Genomic DNA, 20,526 nt, shown 5'->3' with positions numbered 1-20,526 from the left:
GAGAGAAAGAAAGAAATCATATCCTTTATCCTCCCACACAGCCAAAGATTCCTGAAGACAGAGCTGATGCCATGTACTCAAGTGGGTCTCTGCCTCTCAGAGGTGGCCTTGATCTTCAAGTTTCAGCAATTCTGGGAAGCCAAGGACACCTCCATCTCCTCCTCCCTGATCTGCAACTCATCTGAGAGCAGCTTTCTCATTGGAATGTCTTGTGTTTAAGGAACAAGAATCCCTGTTTCCGGTTTGGGTGCCCAAGTGCACCTACTGGATCCAACCCAGGATTGGAGATACTTTGCAGAACACAACATCATCTGGCACATGACCAGCCATGGTGTTTCACTTTCACAATTTCAGCTTCCTTCACTGATTGCAGCATAATCGTGGTTCAGCAGCCTCCAAGACCAGGGCTGATGTGGGCGGCTACAGGGAGAAATTCAAGAGGAAGTTCTTGGTGGTGCCCTCCATGAGTACAAAGAAGCCTCACAGTCCCCAGGACACCCTTCCGTGCATGGTGTCACTGACATCTTTATTTCTTTTGTCACGTTCTGTAAATCACAATGAATGGGGTATTCTTCCTCTATTATATATTTGTTAAGTCTTTTTTGGCATCTTTAAAAAAAACTGGTAACTTTATCCTATGTAATATCCCTGTTAAGTCCTAAAAGTCTTTTCTGATGTCTATTTTGTCTGAAATTTGCACAGCTACTATAGCTTTATTTCGGTTCATATTTTCATAATCCATGTTTTCTCATCCTTTTATATTTGTGAATGTGTAAAGTAACTTTCTTGTGCATAGCTAAGAGTTTGGTCTTGCTTTTTTAAATCGACTATAAGTTCTATTTTTAAACTAATATTTTCTCTTATTTTTTGTTTAAGATAGCATTTCATAATGATGTTTATTTCTCCATTAACATATTACCTAATTCACTTTTTATAAATATTATATTTGTTACCATAAGGTTTGCAAAAGGAGCGATTCTTCATTTTGGAACCCTTTCTTATTTTCTGGGTACCATGAGAAATTGTAGACTTTACTCCTATATTCTCTTTCCAAGCCCTAGGATTAGCCATTTTTCCAAGAAATGTTGCATACCATTCTGCTATGAAGGGAACCAAAACTCAAATCTTGATTCTGGGTGTATTTTTTGTTAATTTGCTGTCTTTTCTTGTAGAACCTCTCAGGTAATGACTCTAGGAGGTATGTGTTGTGTATTAACCCATATATATACATACATCTAAACTATTTTTATTTAATTTTTATACCTATATTATGCTAAACTTGCAAATATATTGACACATCTGCCCTAAGTTAATACCACATGAATGTTTATTACCTACCTTCTATTCCTGTCCCTAACCTCGCACTCCAACCGTGAGGAACCCCCTCCTGCCACACCCTGTCTATTCCCTTTGTAGTCCAGTTCCAGGATTTCTGTAGAGTGGAACCAGATTGTGTATGTTTTGCTCTTTTGTGGAACATCATCAGCTGGGGTACAGTTCTGACGTGCACTTTCTTTATTCTTTTATTGACTACACTATTTCTGAAGTCACTTGGCACCTCTTCTGATTTCATACATTTGTAATGACATTAGATATTTTCTATATTGTCTGCATTCTATCCTGGAATTCCTAATCTCCTATTTATTTATATTTTTGTGAATTGGAATTAACCCTTTATGCTGTATATTCTGTTGATTTCAACAAATTCATATCACATATTTACCATTATAATATTATACATAATACTTTCATCACCCTTTTAAATCTATTTTTTACCCATTTTCATCATCTCCTTAAATTTCTCGCAAATACAGAATCACTTTATGTGTTTGGACTTCTCCAGAATATCAAATAAATAACATACTATGTAGCTTTTTCAGACTTGTTTCTTTCACTTAACAATATGCATTTAAAATTCATTTATGTATTTTTATGGTTTGATAGCTCTTGTTTATAATTGCTGAATATTATTCTATGAATTTACTGCCGACTGTTTATCTGCTCACCTACAGAACTTCTTGAGTGTTCCTAGTTTTGACAAATATGAATGAACTTACTGTGATTATTCATGTGTAGTTTTCTTTGTGGTCATACATTGAAAGTCAGATAGATAAATACCTAGGAGCATGGGTGCTGGATTGCATGCCAAAACTATGTTGAGATTTGACTGAATTTGCCTCCTAGAATTTCTGTGAAGTGGAGGCGCTCAGCTGACCCTGTCTCCTTGCTGGGAGGAAGCTCAGTGCTCAGGGTGGGGCCACCTGGGTGGATCCAGGCCAAGCTCCCTCTCAACAATTAGGGACAGCAGCCTGCCCTGTGGATGCACATCTAGGAAACAGATGCCCCAGACATGCATTGTCCAGGACCACAGAGATGCTTAGGAGTCAGACAGGAAGGGGCACACTGAGGAGCAGGTGCTGGGATAGACCAGGAGGGGAGCTTCTAGCAAAATCCTTGGTTCTCCTTTAGCGAAACTATATCTAACTCCCAGGAAAACTTCCACTCCATCATTTGTAACCCATGCCCTGAAATTTCCATGCTCAAACTCAGTAAACTCAGTGGATTTAGCTGGAAGTGTGAAAAAAAACTAAAATGAAAATGACTCGTTAATTCTGTGATAATTGGTCATTTTCTAGGGAACACCCCAATAATATTGATGATCATAATGTTAATGTCAAAAGCAACATACACCGTCAGCATGATGGCAGTGTGTCTCCTGGTAGAATATATTTATTACTTGAAAATTATGCTCAAAACAGTCTTTTCCCACAGAAAATCCCACTTTCTCTTCTCACACAGTCAATTTCAGTATCCTGATCCTCAGAGTTGGAAGCACCGTGTCCTCAGGAGATAGGAGGGAAAGTCACTAGCATGGCCCTGGAGTCTTGGTGCCAGATTCTTCATCTTTGTGGCAATCAAAAGGCAAATATTCTGTACCTACTTGAAGGACTTCATAAGCAAATTACGATTTAATTTACAAGAACACTATGTCACACGTATACACACAGGTTTTTTATATTTGTTGTCTTTTCCGTGATTATCTCTTACAGTGTTGTATATTTAATATATTCATTTTATTTTAATTTTATGTAGGTTCCTCATTCCTTCATATGTGTATTACATTTCCCTGGAACTATCACGTATTTTATATACTTAGCAATGGAAAGCTCCTGGTTTCAGTTGTCTGTGCAGCAGGCAGGGGGAGGAGAAGAAAATGGGTCACACTCCTGACCCTGCCTGCATAGCCACAGGTTCCCAAAAGCAGAGGTCCCTGCTGTGCACCTTCCCTGGGACAACTTTCTTATTGATGGGTCTTGTGTTTAATTAATGAGAGTTTGTTTTAGGGGTATGGGCCCAGGTGCAGCTACTGAATCCAGTGCAAGAGTGGAAATAAGCTTCCAAAACAGTATCACCTGAGAGAGAACTGAGTCCATCCCTGTAGTACCATCTGAGTTACAGCTTCCTGGGCAAAGGCTCAGAATCATAAAAACTTTACATATGTGTCATGTGCTGTGATTCTTCTGTGTCACTGTATGTTGAGCTATATCTGTGTGGTGCCACTTACACTTAATGAGATGAGATTCCTTCTACTTGTTTCACGTCACTCGTGATCTCTGAAGCTACTTCAGATTTCTGCTTTAATATGTAAAGAGCATGTCAATCATCACCCACATTCTTACCATAATAAAAGTCTGGAAAATTGATTATCAATGATTTCTTGGATCTATTGAAGAAATGAAATTGCAGGGAAAACCAGGACCCAAAAACTAGAAAGACATTAAAATAGAGATCATAACACTGACGGGACAAACTTTCTGTGGCAATAAGATACCCAATTATAAACAAGACCTAAGGCCATGCCAGGCAGGGATTAAGTCACTCACCCCTACACTTAAAAAATAGACTATGTTGTAACTGCCACAGGGCTTTTTGTTTTTCTCTAACAGCTAAACAAGCACTGGTCCTGAGATAAGCAATATTAAAACATTTGCAGTTCATGGAACTTCAGACATGGAGTAATTGTGACCTTGTTTCACAAGCCATAAATAGAGCTTTGATTGGACAAGAGATGGATTTCAGTAACTTTCTCCTGAAAAGAGACCACTGACCATAGACTTGGCCTCACCAATTTCCAGAGGCTGTGCACTGTGTTTTTTTCCGCCCCTGCACAAAGCCCTTTTGATGTGCAGGGCCCAACTGTAATTCAGTTAGTTCTTAAGTCCTCACCCCAAAGCAAACATGAAGTGCATGTAGCGTGTCTGTCTGATTATTAGACCTGAGAGCATGCCTGCCATGTGAATATCCACAGCTCCTATAGCCTGCTGAGTGTGTATACTTGGCCAACGCATTCACATGAATTCATTTCTCGTCTTTCCCTGTCTTGAAGTACCTGCTCAATGTCTCTGTGGGAGGCTTTGCTTCCCAGCCTGTTAAGATGGCCGTCCTGCAGCTTCAATCCTTTCTCAGAAATAAAGTCCCCTTTCTAAATCAATAAATTGGGTGATTCTTCAGTTGACAGCACAAGCTGGCGGAAACATGGTAATTCCATAAATGTCTGGAGGACAGGTGTGGACAGGGATGGGGTAAGAACTCCTGGGGGGCCACACACCCCACACTATCATGGAATTTCCCTCCAGAAAATTCTGGGTTCTCAAGATGAGAGTCCAAACAGAATCACTCGTAGCTCTGTCGTCAGGAGAACTATTCTGTGATAAATATGCCCAGAACTTTCTCCTAACAGATGCTACAGAGACAAAATACTTTTCAAGATCTTTATTCTATGTGAGAGGAAGGGATTCTTTTCCATCCCAGACAGCTTCATCTTAGCCTTCCCGTGTCATGAAAAGGGGTATAATTAATAAACAACTGGGGTCAGATTCAAGAAAATAATCTGTGGATGCTGCAGCCAGGAGGGGGAGTGGAGGATGGAGGAAAATCCGCTGTACCACTGGAGACTCCTTGTAAAGGGTGCAGCCTAGAGAAAACACAGCAAGAAAACATTGGAAGTCAATTTCCAGAACATATACTGCTCCCCTGTCCACTGCATCACCTCCCCTCCTCACCAATAGGATTAATCTGGATTAAAGAGAAAAGTGTGATAATGCACAGACTCTGTCCAAACACTACAACTTAGGGAAACCAAAGGCAGTGGGAGAGAACAAGTCAAGGACAGTGAAGTGATTCAAAGCCTCTGAGAACAACAGCTTCAGGACCAAGGTCACAGCCTCTCCCTCAATGGCCTTAGATTTACTTCTCATGGGGCATCTGCAGGGTTCCCAGGTGAGAACTGGCAAAGAGAACATGAAGGCACTTTCCAAATCTCCAGTAATACTGAGCTTGCTTTAGCTCTGTCTGGAAAAAATAACAACAACAAACACAAGCAGGACTATGGCCAGTGTTGGAAGCACTTTTCATTGACAAGACACTTGGAAGGAGGGCAAATCTGAGTCTCGTTACTGTGCAAATGTGCCACTGTGAGTGTATGTGTGTGTGTGGGGGGGGGGGTGCTTTGAGACATAGGGTCTTTGTGTAAAGTTACAATCTGATGTGATCGTCAACCACAGAATCCTAAAAAAAAATAGAGGCTGCCCCAAAGTTCCCATCGGTTCCTAGACTTGCCATGTGTCCGGACCCTATCAGTGCACCTAGAACTCCAGGGAAGGGGCTCCCTGGTGGCTTTAGTGATTCCTTGTTGCTGTGCTGAGGTCTCCCGGTAGATTATGTCGGGTGTTCTAAGGCCTATTTGCTACTGTAAGAGATGGTGGGAGAAGCAATTGCTGCCATTGAAAGAGCATTCTGAGTCAGGGCAAGGCCACTTCATACTGTGCTTGAGACGCTGGGAGGAGAATTCTCTATGAGCCCAGACAGGAACTTTCCTGCAGGGCAGGAGCTGAGCTGCAGGGGGCGCTCAGGGCGCACCCAGCACAGGATCCAGCCCTGGAGCAGGTTCACAGGAGGCTGGGGAGGGGTTTTCTCTCAGGAATTGAATGTTCTTTATTTCAAAGCAATAATAACCTAAAATCTAAATAAGAATGTAGTAAGTACTGATGTGTCTTTAAGTATTCTATTATATATGTAGCCTATACCTAACCAAATAATTGAATGCAAACAGCATTTAAAAGGAGAAATGTCTAGTCTTTTCAAATGTATTTATAGTTAGGAATTGAAGAGTGGTTTTATTAATTCAATGGGTGTTACTGTCGGAAGATACACTCATCCCAGAATTTAGATGTGCAGAGGTCAAGGCCCAGGAAAAGTTCAGGTTGTCAGGGTGCCATATGAACAAGAAATGACATTGAGGACAATGTCCTGGGAGATTCTGGTTTTCTGTAAAACGAGTTCTGTCTTCATGGACTTCTGAGCATAACAGAGGGCAAATATCATTAAACAAAGTTCAGGGCAGGGAGCTCTGCATCCCACTGTGGCGTGGTCCGTGTGTCACCTATCTTCTTCCTCAGGTTGAGGTGGCTTGAGCTATGAAATACCTGCCTCGTGAATATGCAAATGCACTGCTGTCTACCGAGGTACATACAGATCTGTCCTTGCCCAGAGAGCATCACACAACAACCACATCCCTCCCCTACAGAAGCCCCCAGAGCACAGCACCTCACCATGGACTGGACCGGGAGGATCCTCCTCTTGGTGGCAGCAGCCACAGGGAAGAGAATCCTAAGTTCCAGGGCTGATGAGGGGACTGGGTCCAGTTAAGTGGAGTCTCAACCACTTCTCTGTCCTCTCCACAGGTGCCCATTCCCAGGTCCAATCGGTGCAGTCTGGGGCTGAGGTGAGGAAACCTGGGTCCTCAGTGAAGGTGATCCCAGATACACCTTCACCTTCCACTACATACACTGGGGGCGACAGGCCCCTGGAAAAGGGCTTGAGTGGATGGAACGTGTTGATCCTGAAGATGGTGAAACAATATATGCACAGAATTCCAGGGCAGAGTCACCACGACCTGGGACATGTCTACAGACACAGCCTACATGGAGCTGAGCAGCCTGAGATCTGAGGACACAGCCGTATATTAATGTGCAAGACACGCAGTGTGAAAACCCACATCCTGAGAGTGTCAGAAACCTTGAGGAAGGAGGCAGCTGTGCTGGGGGTGAGAAGATGACAGGATTTATGAGGTTTAAACGTGTTTAGAAAATGGGTTAAGTAATTGAGGAAAAGAAGCAATAGAAAGATGTATACACTCTAATTATATAGGAAATAGTCTTTTCAACTTTCACCCTGTAAGTAAAATTCACAGAGTGGGAAAGGCAGCAATCAATCAGGCTGATGCAAACACTCCCATGGAAGCCTTGTGGGGACATAACATTTTAAAATCGAATGGATAAATCATTTGGAGCAGGATTGCTTTATCACGTGGTCAGACTAAACATAATTTCTAAGAAGTGGCCAACATTTCTTCCAAAATGTCTTTGCCACTTTTTTTACATTACATTTATTTTAAAACACTTTTAGGATCACAGCAAATTTGAGTAGAAGAAACAGAGTTCCCATGTATTCCTGCCCAAGATACGCACAGACTTCTCCGTGATCAATACCCTGCACTGAAGTAATAACTTGCAACTGACAAACCCGCATGGACACATTAATTGTTTCCTTTTCTGGCGTCCCCTAGTATAACAAGCCTAAACTATCTTGAAACACCCCGGGTTCCTCAAGCGGATTACTGGGAATGATGCCAGGTAGAGGGAAAGTGGGTGGGGACGTTCCTCTTTGCACTCTTTCCTCAAGAATCCATAAAATGTACATTGATTTGGAGCTCATCTGACTTGTTTTTCTATGCCCCTTCCCAGAGGGTAAGGTCTCCAAGCATTTACAGCAGAGGTCCCCAACCCCTAGGCAGTGAACCAGAACTGGTCAGCAGCCTGTTAGAAACCAGGCAGCACAGCAGGTGAGCGGCGGGTGAGCATCACTGCCTGAGCTCCGCCTCTTGTCAGATCAGCTGTGCACTAGATTCTCCTAGGATCCAAATTCTATTGTGAACTGGGCATGCAAAGGACCTAGTTTGAGTGCTCCCTATGAGAATCTAATGCTTGATGAATGCAGGTGGAGTAAGTTCATCCCATAATCACTCACCGCCATCATCCATGGAAAAATTGTCTGCCACGAAACCGTTCCCTGGTGCCAAAAATGTTGGGGACCACTGGTGTAGAGGAAGGTCTGTGCCTGTGAAAGGCCAGCAGCTTCTGGTGAATCCCATAATCAATGTCCTTTAATGAGAAGTGAAGACTTTGGCCATGAGGGCTTTCATGAATAATGCCCTTCAGTTGAATTCAAAACACTATAAGCTCTTGGGGGGTGTTTCTGGATAAAGGCCTTTGTGAAGAAAATACAAACACATGCATGGGATCCAGGCAGGAAAAAAGCTTCCCTTAGAAAGTGGTTTGGTACCTGGAAGGAGCTCTCAGGGTTGGGCACTGGACCCCTTGCTGGCTGCACTTTAGCCAGAGGCCTGAGCCTGATTGATCTTGCAGCGAGAGAGCCTCACTGGGGTCACAGGTTACCAAAATGCCTGTCATCTTCCAGCTGAGCAAGCCCATCTGCATGCTTGTCACTGTCAACCCCATGAGGGGTGCACTCTGGAAGATGACAAGATGCACACAAACCTCCTCCCCCCACTTATCCACTACCACACAATCGAAACCAATTTATATTCCAGAAAGGGACAGGTGCCTGCAGGGATAAACAGAATGGAAGTATTATCTTACCTGGGAAAGACACTGCCAAATACCACATGTTTCAGGAAGATCAACTCATAAGTGTTCAGGAAGTGACTGAAGGGCAACGGTGGGTGAAGTGACGTGGCAGCCTCAGGGCTGCATGTGAGGAGGGCTCCCTCCCCCATGCAGGCTTTGCCTCCAGGAGCTGCACCAGGAACTCACAGAGGATCAGGAATTATTCTGAGAACATACTTCTGAGTGCTGCCTACAGGGAGAAAATAAATTATAAAAAATAAATCAATTCTAAACAAAATATGACATTTGTTATTAGAAACTATTTCTGGAACCTGTGGGAAACAAACCAACCCTGTGGCTGACAGCAACCACCGGCAGCCACCATCCCCTCCACAGCCCTGTGTTTGGAACATCACCTGAGTGATTGTATAAGGAACTTTCTTTCAGAATCATCTTAAAAACTTATGTGTCCCATTTCACATGGAGAGGTCATCTATCCATTTTGTCTTCATAGAGAAATAGAAGGAGGTGAATACCAAATACACTTCATATCTCCGGATTATTCAAATCTAATTGCCCCTTTATCACCTTCTGATTTCTGGTCTACACAGAACAATCTGCAAATTTTTCTCACTGGTGTTATACTAAAACTTGTGAAGGGCCAGATACTGGAATAATTTCAACTTACATTATTATTCTAATAATTCTAAGAATTTAGAATTAAGATTATCCTCTTTTCATAGATGGACAAACTAACCTAGATATTTGAAAATAAACCCTTAACTGAGACTGAAAAGATCAGCCATAGATTTGGAGAATTTGCTTGCAAATCCAATATTTGGAAAAGGGCTTTTATCACAAATATATAAATTGACTTATAATTGAACAAAAACAAAACCACAAAATTTATTTTTAAAATGGGCAAAGACCTGAAGAGAAACCACATCTAAAAGTAAAGATAAAAAGTGATCAGTTTGATTTTTATTAGGTAAATGTACATTTAATATTCAAAAAATACTGCTAACCTGCTAAAATGGGTAAAATAAACAATATAGACAATACCAAATGGTGAAGAGAAAGCTGAAAATCAGGAACTTTCACTTACTGCTGTTGGGAATGCTAAAATGGTACATAGACAACTACAGTTAATAATTTATTGTATATTTGAAAATAGCTAGAAGAGAAAATTTAGAATGTCCTTAACACAAAGAAATAATCAATGATTGAGATGAAGGATATCCCGGTTATCCAGGTTTGATCACTGCACATATTATTTTATCAAAATATCACATGTACCACATAAAGGTTTTGAACTGTTATGTATCTGTATAAATTCAACATTTAAAAATCAAATGCAGGGGAATCCAGCTAATTGCAGATTCCCATTAGATGGGATGTTCTATGTAATCTGTAAACTAATCAGAATCTGTGGGTTTGTAAAAGGACTTTAGAAATCAACTAGATTACTTGTTTCTAAAGATAAGTCTTGCAAGTTTAATTATTTTCCTAATGGGGGGCAATTTTGAACACAGAAGAAATGTTAACATTTGTTTCTTGTAACTTTTCTTCTAGTATCAGGAGAGAAGGTTTGCAGGGAGGAATCTGGGACCATCTTTCATGTCTCAACTTTAAAGTGATTACCTCAATGAATATTTTCTGATACCCCTGATTAGGATAAGTCTCATATATGTCCTATAAACTAAAAATAGAATTCTAAGCAACCCAACTGGCTGAATGGACCCTTCCTCTTCAAAAAGGAGTTCCAGAGATACTTGAAAAGCTAGTTTAGGCCATGTTAGCAAGAGAGGATCAGAAATGCCTCATTATGCACTCCTGCCTTTGGAATTCAAGCACAACTAACCAGCATTTTCATTCAAACAGATCTTAAGGCTCAGAAAACAGATTCTTTGTAGCAGTAAGATACCAAATTCTAACCTGACTCAAGAATAGCATCACATGACAGCAGGCCTTGAGAGGAATCAAAGTCTTTTGCCCTAAAGTATATTTTTGACATATTTTAAATTGCCCTGCACAGTTATATTTTGTGAGAGAAATTTACATTCTGTAGAGAATCGCTTTACCTTTCCAGGTGTTTTTGTTATATGGAGGAGATTAACTGAGAGTCTAGCATCTTTTAAAGGTCTTAATAGAAAACACTTGCCATCTATTGCCTCTAAGGGTGGCCACATAAGAGACTTCATCTGCATAATAAGAATATTGTTCTCCAAAGCCCGCTCTCTAAATCTAGAAACTTTTTCAACTGATTTCAGGTCTTTAGATAAAACCTTAAGTCTTTTAATCAATTGCCAATAAGAAAAACTTTGAATCCACCTGTAAGCTGTAATCCCCTCCCCACACTGCCTCACTTCTTGCTGTTTTGTCTTTATAGACCAAATCAACACATATCTCACATGTATTGATTGATGTCAAATGTCTCTCTAAGACATTAGATATAAGAGCAATCAAACCACTTTGGGCACATGTTCTCAAGGTCTTCTAAGGTGTGTCACAGGGCATGGTCCTCACATTTGGCTCAGAATAAATCTCTCTAAATATTTTGCAAAGTTACCTTTTTTAATTATACTTTAAGTGATGGGATACATGTGCAGAACGTGCATGTTTGTTACATAGCTATACATATGCCATGGTGGTTTGCTGCACCCATCAACCCGTCATCTATATTAGGTGTTTCTCCTAATGTTATTCCTCCCCTAGCCCCTCACCCCCCAACAGGCCCTGTTGTGTGATGTTCCCCTCCCTGTGTCCATGTGTTCTCATTGTTCAACTCTCCCTCATGAGGGAGAACATGCAGTGTTTGGTTTTCTGTTCCTGTGTTAGTTTGCTGAGGATGATGGTTTCCAGATTCATCCATGTCCTTGCAAAGAACATGAACTCATTCTTTTTTATGGCTGCATAGTATTCCGTAATGTATATGTGACATATTTTCTTTATCCAGTCTATCACTGATGGGCATTCGGGTTGGTTCCAAGTCTTTGCTATTGTCAACGGTGCTGCAATAAACATACACGTGCATGTGTCTTTATAGTGGATTAATTGTTCATCCTTTGGGTATATACCCAGTAATGGGATTGCTGGGACAAATGGTATCTCTAGGCCTAGATCCTTGAGGAATTGCCACAGTGTCTTCCACAATGGTTGAACTAATTTACCCTCCCACCAATAGTGTAAAAGCATTCCTATTTCTCTACATCCTCTCCAGCATCTGTTGTTTCCTGACTTTTTAATGATTGCCATTCTAACTGGCATGAGATGGTATCTCACTGTGGTTTTGATTTGCATTTCTCTAATGACCAGCGATGATGACCTTTTTTTCATATGTTTGTTGGTCTCATAAATGTTTTCTTTTGAGAAGTGTCTGCTCATATCCTTCACCCACTTTTTGATGGTGTTGTTTGTTTTTTTTCTTTTAAATTTGTCTAAGTTCCTTAGAGATTCTGGATATTAGCTCTTTGTCAGATGGATAGATTGCAAAAATTTTCTCCCATTCTGTAGGTTGCCTGTTCACTCCAATGACAGTTTCTTTTGCTGTGCAGAAGCTCTTTAGTTTAATTAGATCCCATTTGTCAATTTTGGCTTTTGTTGCCATTGCTTTTGGTGTTTTAGTCATGAAGTCCTTGCCCATGCCTATGTCCTGAATGGTATTGCCTAGGTTTTCTTCTAGGGTTTTTATGGTTTTAGGTCTTACATTTAAGTCTTTAATCCATCTTGAGTTAATTTTTGTGTAAAGTGTAAGGAAGGGGTCCAGTTTTAGTTTTCTGCATATGTCTAGCCAGTTTTCCATACACCATTTATTAAATAGCAAATCCTTTCCCCATTGCTTGTTTTTGTCAGGTTTGTCAGAGATCAGATGTTCTAGATGTGTGGCATTATTTCTGAGGCCCCTGTTCTGTTCCATTAGTCTATATATCTGTTTTGGTGTCAGCATCATGCTGTTTTGGTTACTGTAGCCTTATAGTATAGTTTGAAATCAGGTAGCATGATGCCTCCAGCTTTGTTTGTTTGTTTGTTTTTGCTTAGGATTGTCTTCGCTTTACAGTCTCTTTTTTGGTTCCATATGAAATGTAAAGTAGTTTTTTTTCTAATTCTGAGAAGAAAGTCAATGGTAGCTTGATGGGGATAGCATTAAATCCATAAATTACTTTGGGCAGTATGGCTGTTTTTACAATATTGATTCTTCCTTTCCATGTCCATGAAATATTTTTCCATTTGTTTGTGTCCTCTCTTATTTCCTTGGGCAGTGGTTTGTAGTTCTCCTTGAAGAGATCCTTCACATCCCTTGTAAGTTGTATTCCTAGGTATTTTATTCTCTTTGTAGCAATTGTGAATGGGAGTTCACTCATTATTTGGTTCTCTGGTTGTCTATTATTGGTGTATAGGAATTGTTGTGATTTTTGCACATTGATTTTGTATCCTGAGACTTTGCTGAAGTCGCTTATCAGCTTAAGGAGATTTTGGGCTGAGAGGAGGAGGTTTTCTAAATATACAATCATGTCATCTGCAAACAGAGATAATTTGACTTCCTCTCTTTCTATTTGAATACCTTTATTTCTTTCTCTGGCCTGATTGCTCTGGCCAGAGCTTCCAATACTATGTTGAATAGGAGGAGTGGTGAGGGAGGGCATCTTTGTCTTTTGCTGGTTTTCAAAGAGAATGCTTCCAGTTTATGCCCATTCAGTATGATATTGGCCGTGGATTTGTCATGAATAGCTCTTATTATTTTGAAATATGTTCCATCAATACCTAGTTTATTGAAAGTTTTTAGCATGAAGTGGTGTTGAATTTTATTGACGGCCTTTTCTGCTTCTATTGAGATAATTGTGTGTTTTTTTCCATTGGTTCTGTTTATGTGATGGATTATGTTTATTGATTTGTGTATGTTGAACCAGCCTTGCATCCCAGGGATGAAGCCGACTTGATCATGGTGGATCAGCTTCTTTATGTGCTGCTGGATTTGGTTGGCCAGTATTTTATTGAGGATTTTTGCATCAATGTTTATCAGGGATATAGGCTTGAAATTTTTTTGGTGTTGTGTCTCTGACAGGTTTTGGTATCAGGATGATGCTGGCTTCATAAAATGAGTTAGGGTGGAGTCCCTCTTTTTCTGTTGTTTGGAATAGTTTCAGAAGGAATGGTACCAGCACCTCTTTGTACCTCTGGAAGAATTCATCTGTGAATCTGTCTTGACCTGGGCTTTTTTTGGTTGGTAGGCAATTAATTACTGCCTCAATTTCAGAACTTGTTATTGGTCTCTTCAGAGATTCGACCTCTTCCTGGTTTAGTTTTGGGAGGGTGTGTGTGTCCAGGAAGTTATCCATTTCCTCTGATTTTCTAGTTTATTTGTATAGAGGTGCTTATAGTATTCTCTAATGGTAGTTTGTATTTCTGTGGGATGAGTGACGATATGCCTTTCCTCATTTTTTATTGTGTCTATTTGATTCTTCTCTCTTTTCTTCTTTATTAGTCTGGCTAGCAGTCTATCTATTTTGTTAATCTTTTCAAAAAATCACCTACTGGATTCACTGATTTTTTGAAGGGATTTTTGTGTCTCTATCTCTTTCAGTTCTGCTCTGATCTTAGTTATTTCTTGTCTTCTGCTAGCTTTTGAATTAGTTTGCTCTCGCTTCTCTAGTTCTTTAATTGTGATGTTAGTGTGTTGATTTTAGATCTTTCATGCTTCCTCTTGTGGGCATTTAGTGCTATAAATTTCCCTCTAAACACTGCTTTAGCTGGGTCCCAGAGATTCTGGTACATTGTATCTTTGTTCTCATTGGTTTCAAAGAACTTATTTATTTCTGCCTTAATTTCATTATTTACCCAGTAGTCATTCAGGAGCAGCTTGTTCAGTTTTCATGTACTTGAGCAGTTTTGAAGAGTTTCTTAATCCTGAGTTCTAATTTGATTGTACTGTGGTCTGGGAGACTGTTTGTTCTGATTTCCATTCTTTTGTATTTGCTGAAGAGTGTTTTACTTCCAATAATATGGTCAGTTTTAGAATAAGTGTGATGTGGTGCTGAGAAGAATGTATATTCTGTTGATTTGGGGTGGAGATTTATGTAGATGTCCATTAGAGCCACTTGGTCCAGAGCTGAGTTCAAGTTCTGAATATCCTTGTTAATTTTCTGTCTCATTGATCTGTCAAATATTGACAGTGAGGTGTTAAAGTCTCCAGCTATTATTGTGCGGGAGTCTAAGTCTCTTTGTAGGTCTCTAAGAACTTGCTTTATGAATCTGGGTGCTCCTGTATTGGGTGAATATATATTTAGGATAGTTAGCTCTTCTCGTTGCATTGATACCTTTACCATTAGGTAATCCTCTTCTTTGTCTTTTTTGATGTTTGTTGGTTTAAAGTCTGTTTTATAACACACTAGGGGTGCAACCACTATTTTTTTTTCTTTCCATTTGATTGGTAAATATTCCTGCATCCCTTTATTTTGAGACCTTGGTGAGTCTTTGCACATGAGATGCGTCTCCTGACTACAGCACACCAATGGGTCTTGAGTCTTGATCTAATTTGTCAGTCTCTGTGTTTTAATTGGGGCATTTAGCCTGTTTACATTTAAGGTTAACATTGTTATGTATAAATTTGATCCTGTCATTATGATGTTAGCTGATTGTTGTGCCCATTAGTTGATGTAGTTTCTTCATACTGTTGATGATCTTTACAATTTGGTATGTTTTTGCAGTGGCTGGTACTGGTTTTTCCTTTCCATATTTAGTGCTTCCCTCAGAAGCTCTTGTAAGGCAGGCCTGGTGGTGCAAAAAATCTCAGTATTTGCTTGTCTGTAAAGGTTTTTATTTATCCTTTGCTTATGAAGTTTAGTTTGGCTGGATATGAAATTCTGGGTTGAAAATTCTTTTCTTTAAGAATATTGAATATTGGCCCCCACTCTCTTCTGGCTTGTAGGGTTTCTGCAGAGAGATCTGCTGATAGTCTGATGGGCTTCCCTTTACGGGTAAACCGACCTTTCTCTCTGGCTGCCCTTAACATTTTTTCATTCATTTCAGCCTTGGTGAATCTGAAGATTATGTGTCTTGCAGTTGCTCTTCCCGAGGAGTATCTCTGTATTTCCTGAATTTGAATGTTGGCCTGTCTTGCTAGGTTGGGAAAGTTCTCCTGGATAATATCCTGAAGAGTGTTTTCCAACTTGGTTCCATTCTCCCCATCACTTTCAGGTACACCAGTCAAACGAAGGTTTGGTCTTATCACATACTCCAATATTTCTTGGAGGCTTTGTTCATTCCTTTCATTCTTTTTTCTCTAATCTTGTGTTCACACTTTATTTCATTAAATTGGTCTTGAATCTCTGATATCCTTTCTTCCACTTGTTCAATTCAACTATTGATATTTGTGTATGCGTCACGAAGTTGTTGTGCTGTGTTTTACAGCTCCATCAGGTAATTTATGTTCTTCTTTAAACTGGTTATTCTAGTTAGCAATTCGTCTAACCTTTTTTCAAGGTTCTTAGCTTCCCTGCATTGGGTTAGAACACGCTCCTTTGCCTCAGAGGAGTTTGTTATTACCCACCTTCTGATGCCTCCTTCTGTCAGTTCGTCAAACTCATTTTCCGTCCAGTTTTGTTCCCCTTGCTGATGAGGAGTTGTGATCCTTTAGAGGAGAAGAGGTGTTCTGGTTTTGGGAATTTTAAGCCCTTTTGAACTGGTTTATCCTCATCTTTGTGGATTTATCTACCTTTGGTCTTTGATGTTGGTGACCTTCAGATGGGGTTTCTGTGTGGACGTCCTTTTTGTTGATGTTGATACTATTCCTTTCTGTTTGTTAGTTTTCCTTCTAAAAGTCAGGCCTCTCAGCTGCAGGTCTGCTGAGTTTGCTGGAGATCCACTCTAGATCCTATTTACCTGGGTATCACCAGCAGAGACTGCAGAACAGCAAAGATTGCTGCCTGCTTCTTCTTCTGATTCGTCCTAGAGGGGCACCTGCCAGATGCCTGCTGGAGCACTCCTGTATGAGGAGTCTGTCAACCCCTGTTGGGAGGTGTCTCCCAGTCAGGAGGCATGGGGGCCAGGGACCCACTGGAAGAGGCGGTCTGTCCCTTAGCAGCGTGGAGCGCTGTGTTGGGAGATCTGCTCATCTCTTCAGAGCCAGCAGGCAGGAATGTTTAAGTCTGCTGAAGCTGTGTCCACAGCCACCCCTTCCCCCAGGTGCTCTGTCCCAGGGAGATGGGGGTTTTATCTATAAGCCCCTGACTAGGACAGTTGCCTTTTTTTCCGAGATGCCCTGCATAGCAAGGAGGAATCTAGAAAGGCAGTCTAGCTACAGCAGCTTTGCTGAGCTGTGGTGGGCTCCGGCCAGTTTGAACTTCCAGGTGACTCTGTTTACACTGTGAGGGGAAAACTGCCTTCTCAAGCCTCAGTAATGGCAAACGCCCATCCGCCCACCAAGCTCGAGCATCCCAGGTCAACTTCAGACTGCTGTCCGGGCAGCAAGAATCTCAAGCCAGTGGATTTTAGCTTGCTGGGCTCCGTAGGGGGGGATCCATTGAGCTAGACCACTTGGCTCCCTGCCTTCAGCCCCCTTTCCAGGGGAGTGAAAGGTGCTCTCTCGCTGGCGTTCCAGGTGCCACAGGAGTATAAAAAAAAAAACAACTCTTGCAGCTAGCTGGGTGTCTGCCCAAATGGCCCGGTTTTGTGGTTGAAACCCAGGGTCCTGGTGGTGTAGGAACCCGAGGGAATCTCCTGGTCTGCGGGTTTTGAAGACCGTGGGAAAAGTGTAGTATCTGGGCCAGAGTGCACCTTTCCTCAGGGCACAGTCTCTCACCGGGCACAGTCCCTCACGGCCTCCCTTGGCTAGGGGAGGGAGTTCCCTGACCCACTGGACTTCCTGGGGGAGGTGACACCCCACCCTGCTTCAACTCGCCCTCCGTGGGCTGCACCCACTGTCTAACCAGTCCCAAGGAGATGACCCTCAGTTCGAAATGCTGACATCGGCGAACGCAGGAGGCCATGGCCGCCACCGCCACTGCCTCCGAGGCCGGGCGCAGAAGAGCCGCCGCTGTGAGCGGCGCAGTCCCGGCCCCCGCCGCCGCCCGAGGAGAACGGGAGGGCGGGCGAGAGAGCCGGGGAGTTGCGGAGCCCGCCCGCCGCCGGCAGCACCGCTCCCCAGGGAGGGAGTCCACAGCCTGAGGTTATATCTTAAGTGTGGTGCTGCTAACATTGCCCAGGCAACATCTGGTTCAGCTTTATCTATATTTTTTGACTGCTCTGCTTTTCTATACTGGACATCAAATTTCCAGGGACTACGTTCGGAGCGAACTGCAGTTTGCCTGTGAGGGACCAATGTATTTAGAACCTCTCTCTATGAATCGGTTTACCACAGCCTTAATAGGTCAGTTGGTGGTGTGTACTTTATGCTCCTGTGTCATGAAAACAAAGCAGATTTGGCTGTTTTCAGCTCACGTGCTTCCTCTGCTAGCACGACTCTGCCTTGTTCCTTTGGAGACAATTGTTATCATCAATAAATTTGCTATGATTTTTACTGGATTGGAAGTTCTCTATTTTCTTGGGTCTAATCTTTTGCTACCTTATAACCTTGCTAAATCTGCATACAGAGAATTGGTTCAGGTAGTGGAGGTATATGGCCTTCTCACCTTGGGAATGTCCTTGTGGAATCAACTGGTAGTCCCTGTTCTTTTCATGGTTTTCTGGCTCATCTTATTTGCTCTTCAGATTTACTCCTATTTCAGTACTCGAGATCAGCCGGCATCACGTGAGAGGCTTCTTTTCCTTTTTCTGACAAGTATTGCAGAATGCTGCAGCACTCCTTACTCTCTTTTGGGTTTGGTCTTCACGGTTTCTTTTGTTGCCTTGGGTGTTCTCACACTCTGCGAGTTTTACTTGCAGGGTTATCGAGCTTTCAGGAATGATCCTGCCATGAATTGGGGCATGACAGGAGGAGTAACGCTGTTAATCCTGGCAGTGCAGACTGGGCTGATAGAACTGCAGGTTGTTCATCGGGCATTCCTGCTCAGTATTATCCTTTTCATTGTTGCAGCTTCTATCCTACAGTCTATGTTAGAAATTGCAGATCCTATTTTTTTGGCACTGGGAGCATCCAGAGACAAGAGCTTGTGGAAACACTTCCGTGCTGTGCGACTTTGTTTATTTTTATTGGTATTCCCTGCTCATATGGCTTATATGATTTGCCAGTTTTTCCACCTGGATTTTTGGCTTCTTATCATTATTTCCAGCAGCATTCTTACCTCTCTTCAGGTTCTGGGAACACTTTTTATTTATGTCTGATTTACGGTTGAGGAATTCAGAAAAGAGCCGGTGGAAAACATGGATGATGTCATCTACTATGTGAATGGCACTTACCACCTGCTGGAGTTTCTTGCGGCCGTCTGTATGGTGGCCTATTGCGTCTCAGAGACCATCTTTGGAGAATGGACAGTGATGGGCTCAATGATCATCCATTCATTCCTACTATAACGTGTGGCTTCAGGCCCAGCTGGGGTGGAAGAGCTTTCTTCTCCACAGGGATGCTGTGAATAAGATTAAATCGTTACCCATTGCTACGAAAGAGCAGCTTGAGAAACACAATGATATTTGTGCCATCTGTTATCAGGTAACTCCTTCGATAAGAATCTGTTTGGGACATGAAATCTGCTGTGATCACGCCTTGCGTTCATTTTTTCCATGCAGGCTGTCTTAAGAAATGGCTGTATGTCCAGGAGACCTGCCCTCTGTGCCACTACCACCTGAAAAACTCCTCCCAGCTTCCAGGATTAGGAACTGAGCCAGTTCTACAGCCTCATGCTGGAGCTGAGCAAAACATCATGTTTCAGGAAGGAACTGAACCCCCAGGCCAAGAGCATACTCCAGGGACCAGGATACAGGAAGGTTCTAGGGACAATAATGAGCGCATCGCCAGACAACCAGATAGCCAGGAAGGGGCTTTTGACCCCAAAGAATATCTTCACAGTGCAAAAGATGAAGCACATCCTGTTGAATCAGCCTAGAGGAGAAGCAGCAGGAATGATGCTTTCATACTCTGGAGGAGAAGTTAACTCAAGATGGAATTCATGTTCTGATTTGAGGAATGAAAATGAGATGATCAGGCAGGAAACTGACATTCCAAGGATCTAATCCAGGAAGTACTCTCAGTGGGGACCACCTGCTTTCATCCCCTGACATTGTGGGAGAAAGACAAATAGGAAGCTCTTCTATTAGGGCAATGTAGAGCTTGTGCTTTACTTATGTGACAGATATAGATATTTTGAATATTTTAAAATTAGGTATGATATTCTACCAAACACTATATATAGTGTTTATATATATATAACAAAATAAACACTATATATATATTATATATAATAAAATAAACACTATATATACCAAACACTATATATAGTGTTTATATATATAACAAAATAAACACTATATATATTATATATAATAAACACTATATATATACCAAACACTATATATAGTGTTTATATATATATAAAACAAAATAACACTATATAATTCTATTGGTATAATTAATATATATGTAAGACAAAATAAACACTATATATAGAGTATATATATATATATGTAACAAAATTTTGTGATACCTTGAAATTTAAGGTTGAATATTTGTATACATTCCAAGATAAATCTTGGTGAACATCATAAAATTAATTCTAATATTTTTTGTGCAAGATGATCACTTTCAAACTAGGTTTAACAACAGAGACCAGATGTATCTTTCCACCAGAAATACTTGTAAAACATAGTGAAATTTCTTAAATTCAATTTTATGATGTGTGACAACAGGTAACAAGGACAGTAATTGCTGAGAGGTGGGAAATAAACAAAA

General features: G+C 41.3%; 2 pseudogenes, besides 1 other annotated feature; both read left to right on the top strand.

Annotated features, from left to right (window-relative positions):
* Positions 265–314: an enhancer, noted in NCBI's record as "active region_9153". NCBI's record gives its function as "activates an Ori minimal core promoter by ATAC-STARR-seq in GM12878 lymphoblastoid cells {active_cell/tissue: GM12878}" and the evidence as "EXISTENCE:reporter gene assay evidence [ECO:0000049][PMID:35858748]".
* On the top strand, positions 6,789–7,037 carry IGHV1OR15-6 (immunoglobulin heavy variable 1/OR15-6 (pseudogene); annotated as a pseudogene).
* Positions 17,849–19,870, top strand: LOC401805 (ring finger protein 145 pseudogene; annotated as a pseudogene).

This window comes from Homo sapiens, chromosome 15, assembly GCF_000001405.40.
Source record: "Homo sapiens chromosome 15, GRCh38.p14 Primary Assembly".
In the NCBI taxonomy this organism is placed as follows: Eukaryota; Metazoa; Chordata; class Mammalia; order Primates; family Hominidae; genus Homo; species Homo sapiens.
The sequence above is the reverse complement of the archived record's forward strand: the minus strand, read 5'-3'. Positions and strand labels throughout refer to the sequence as shown.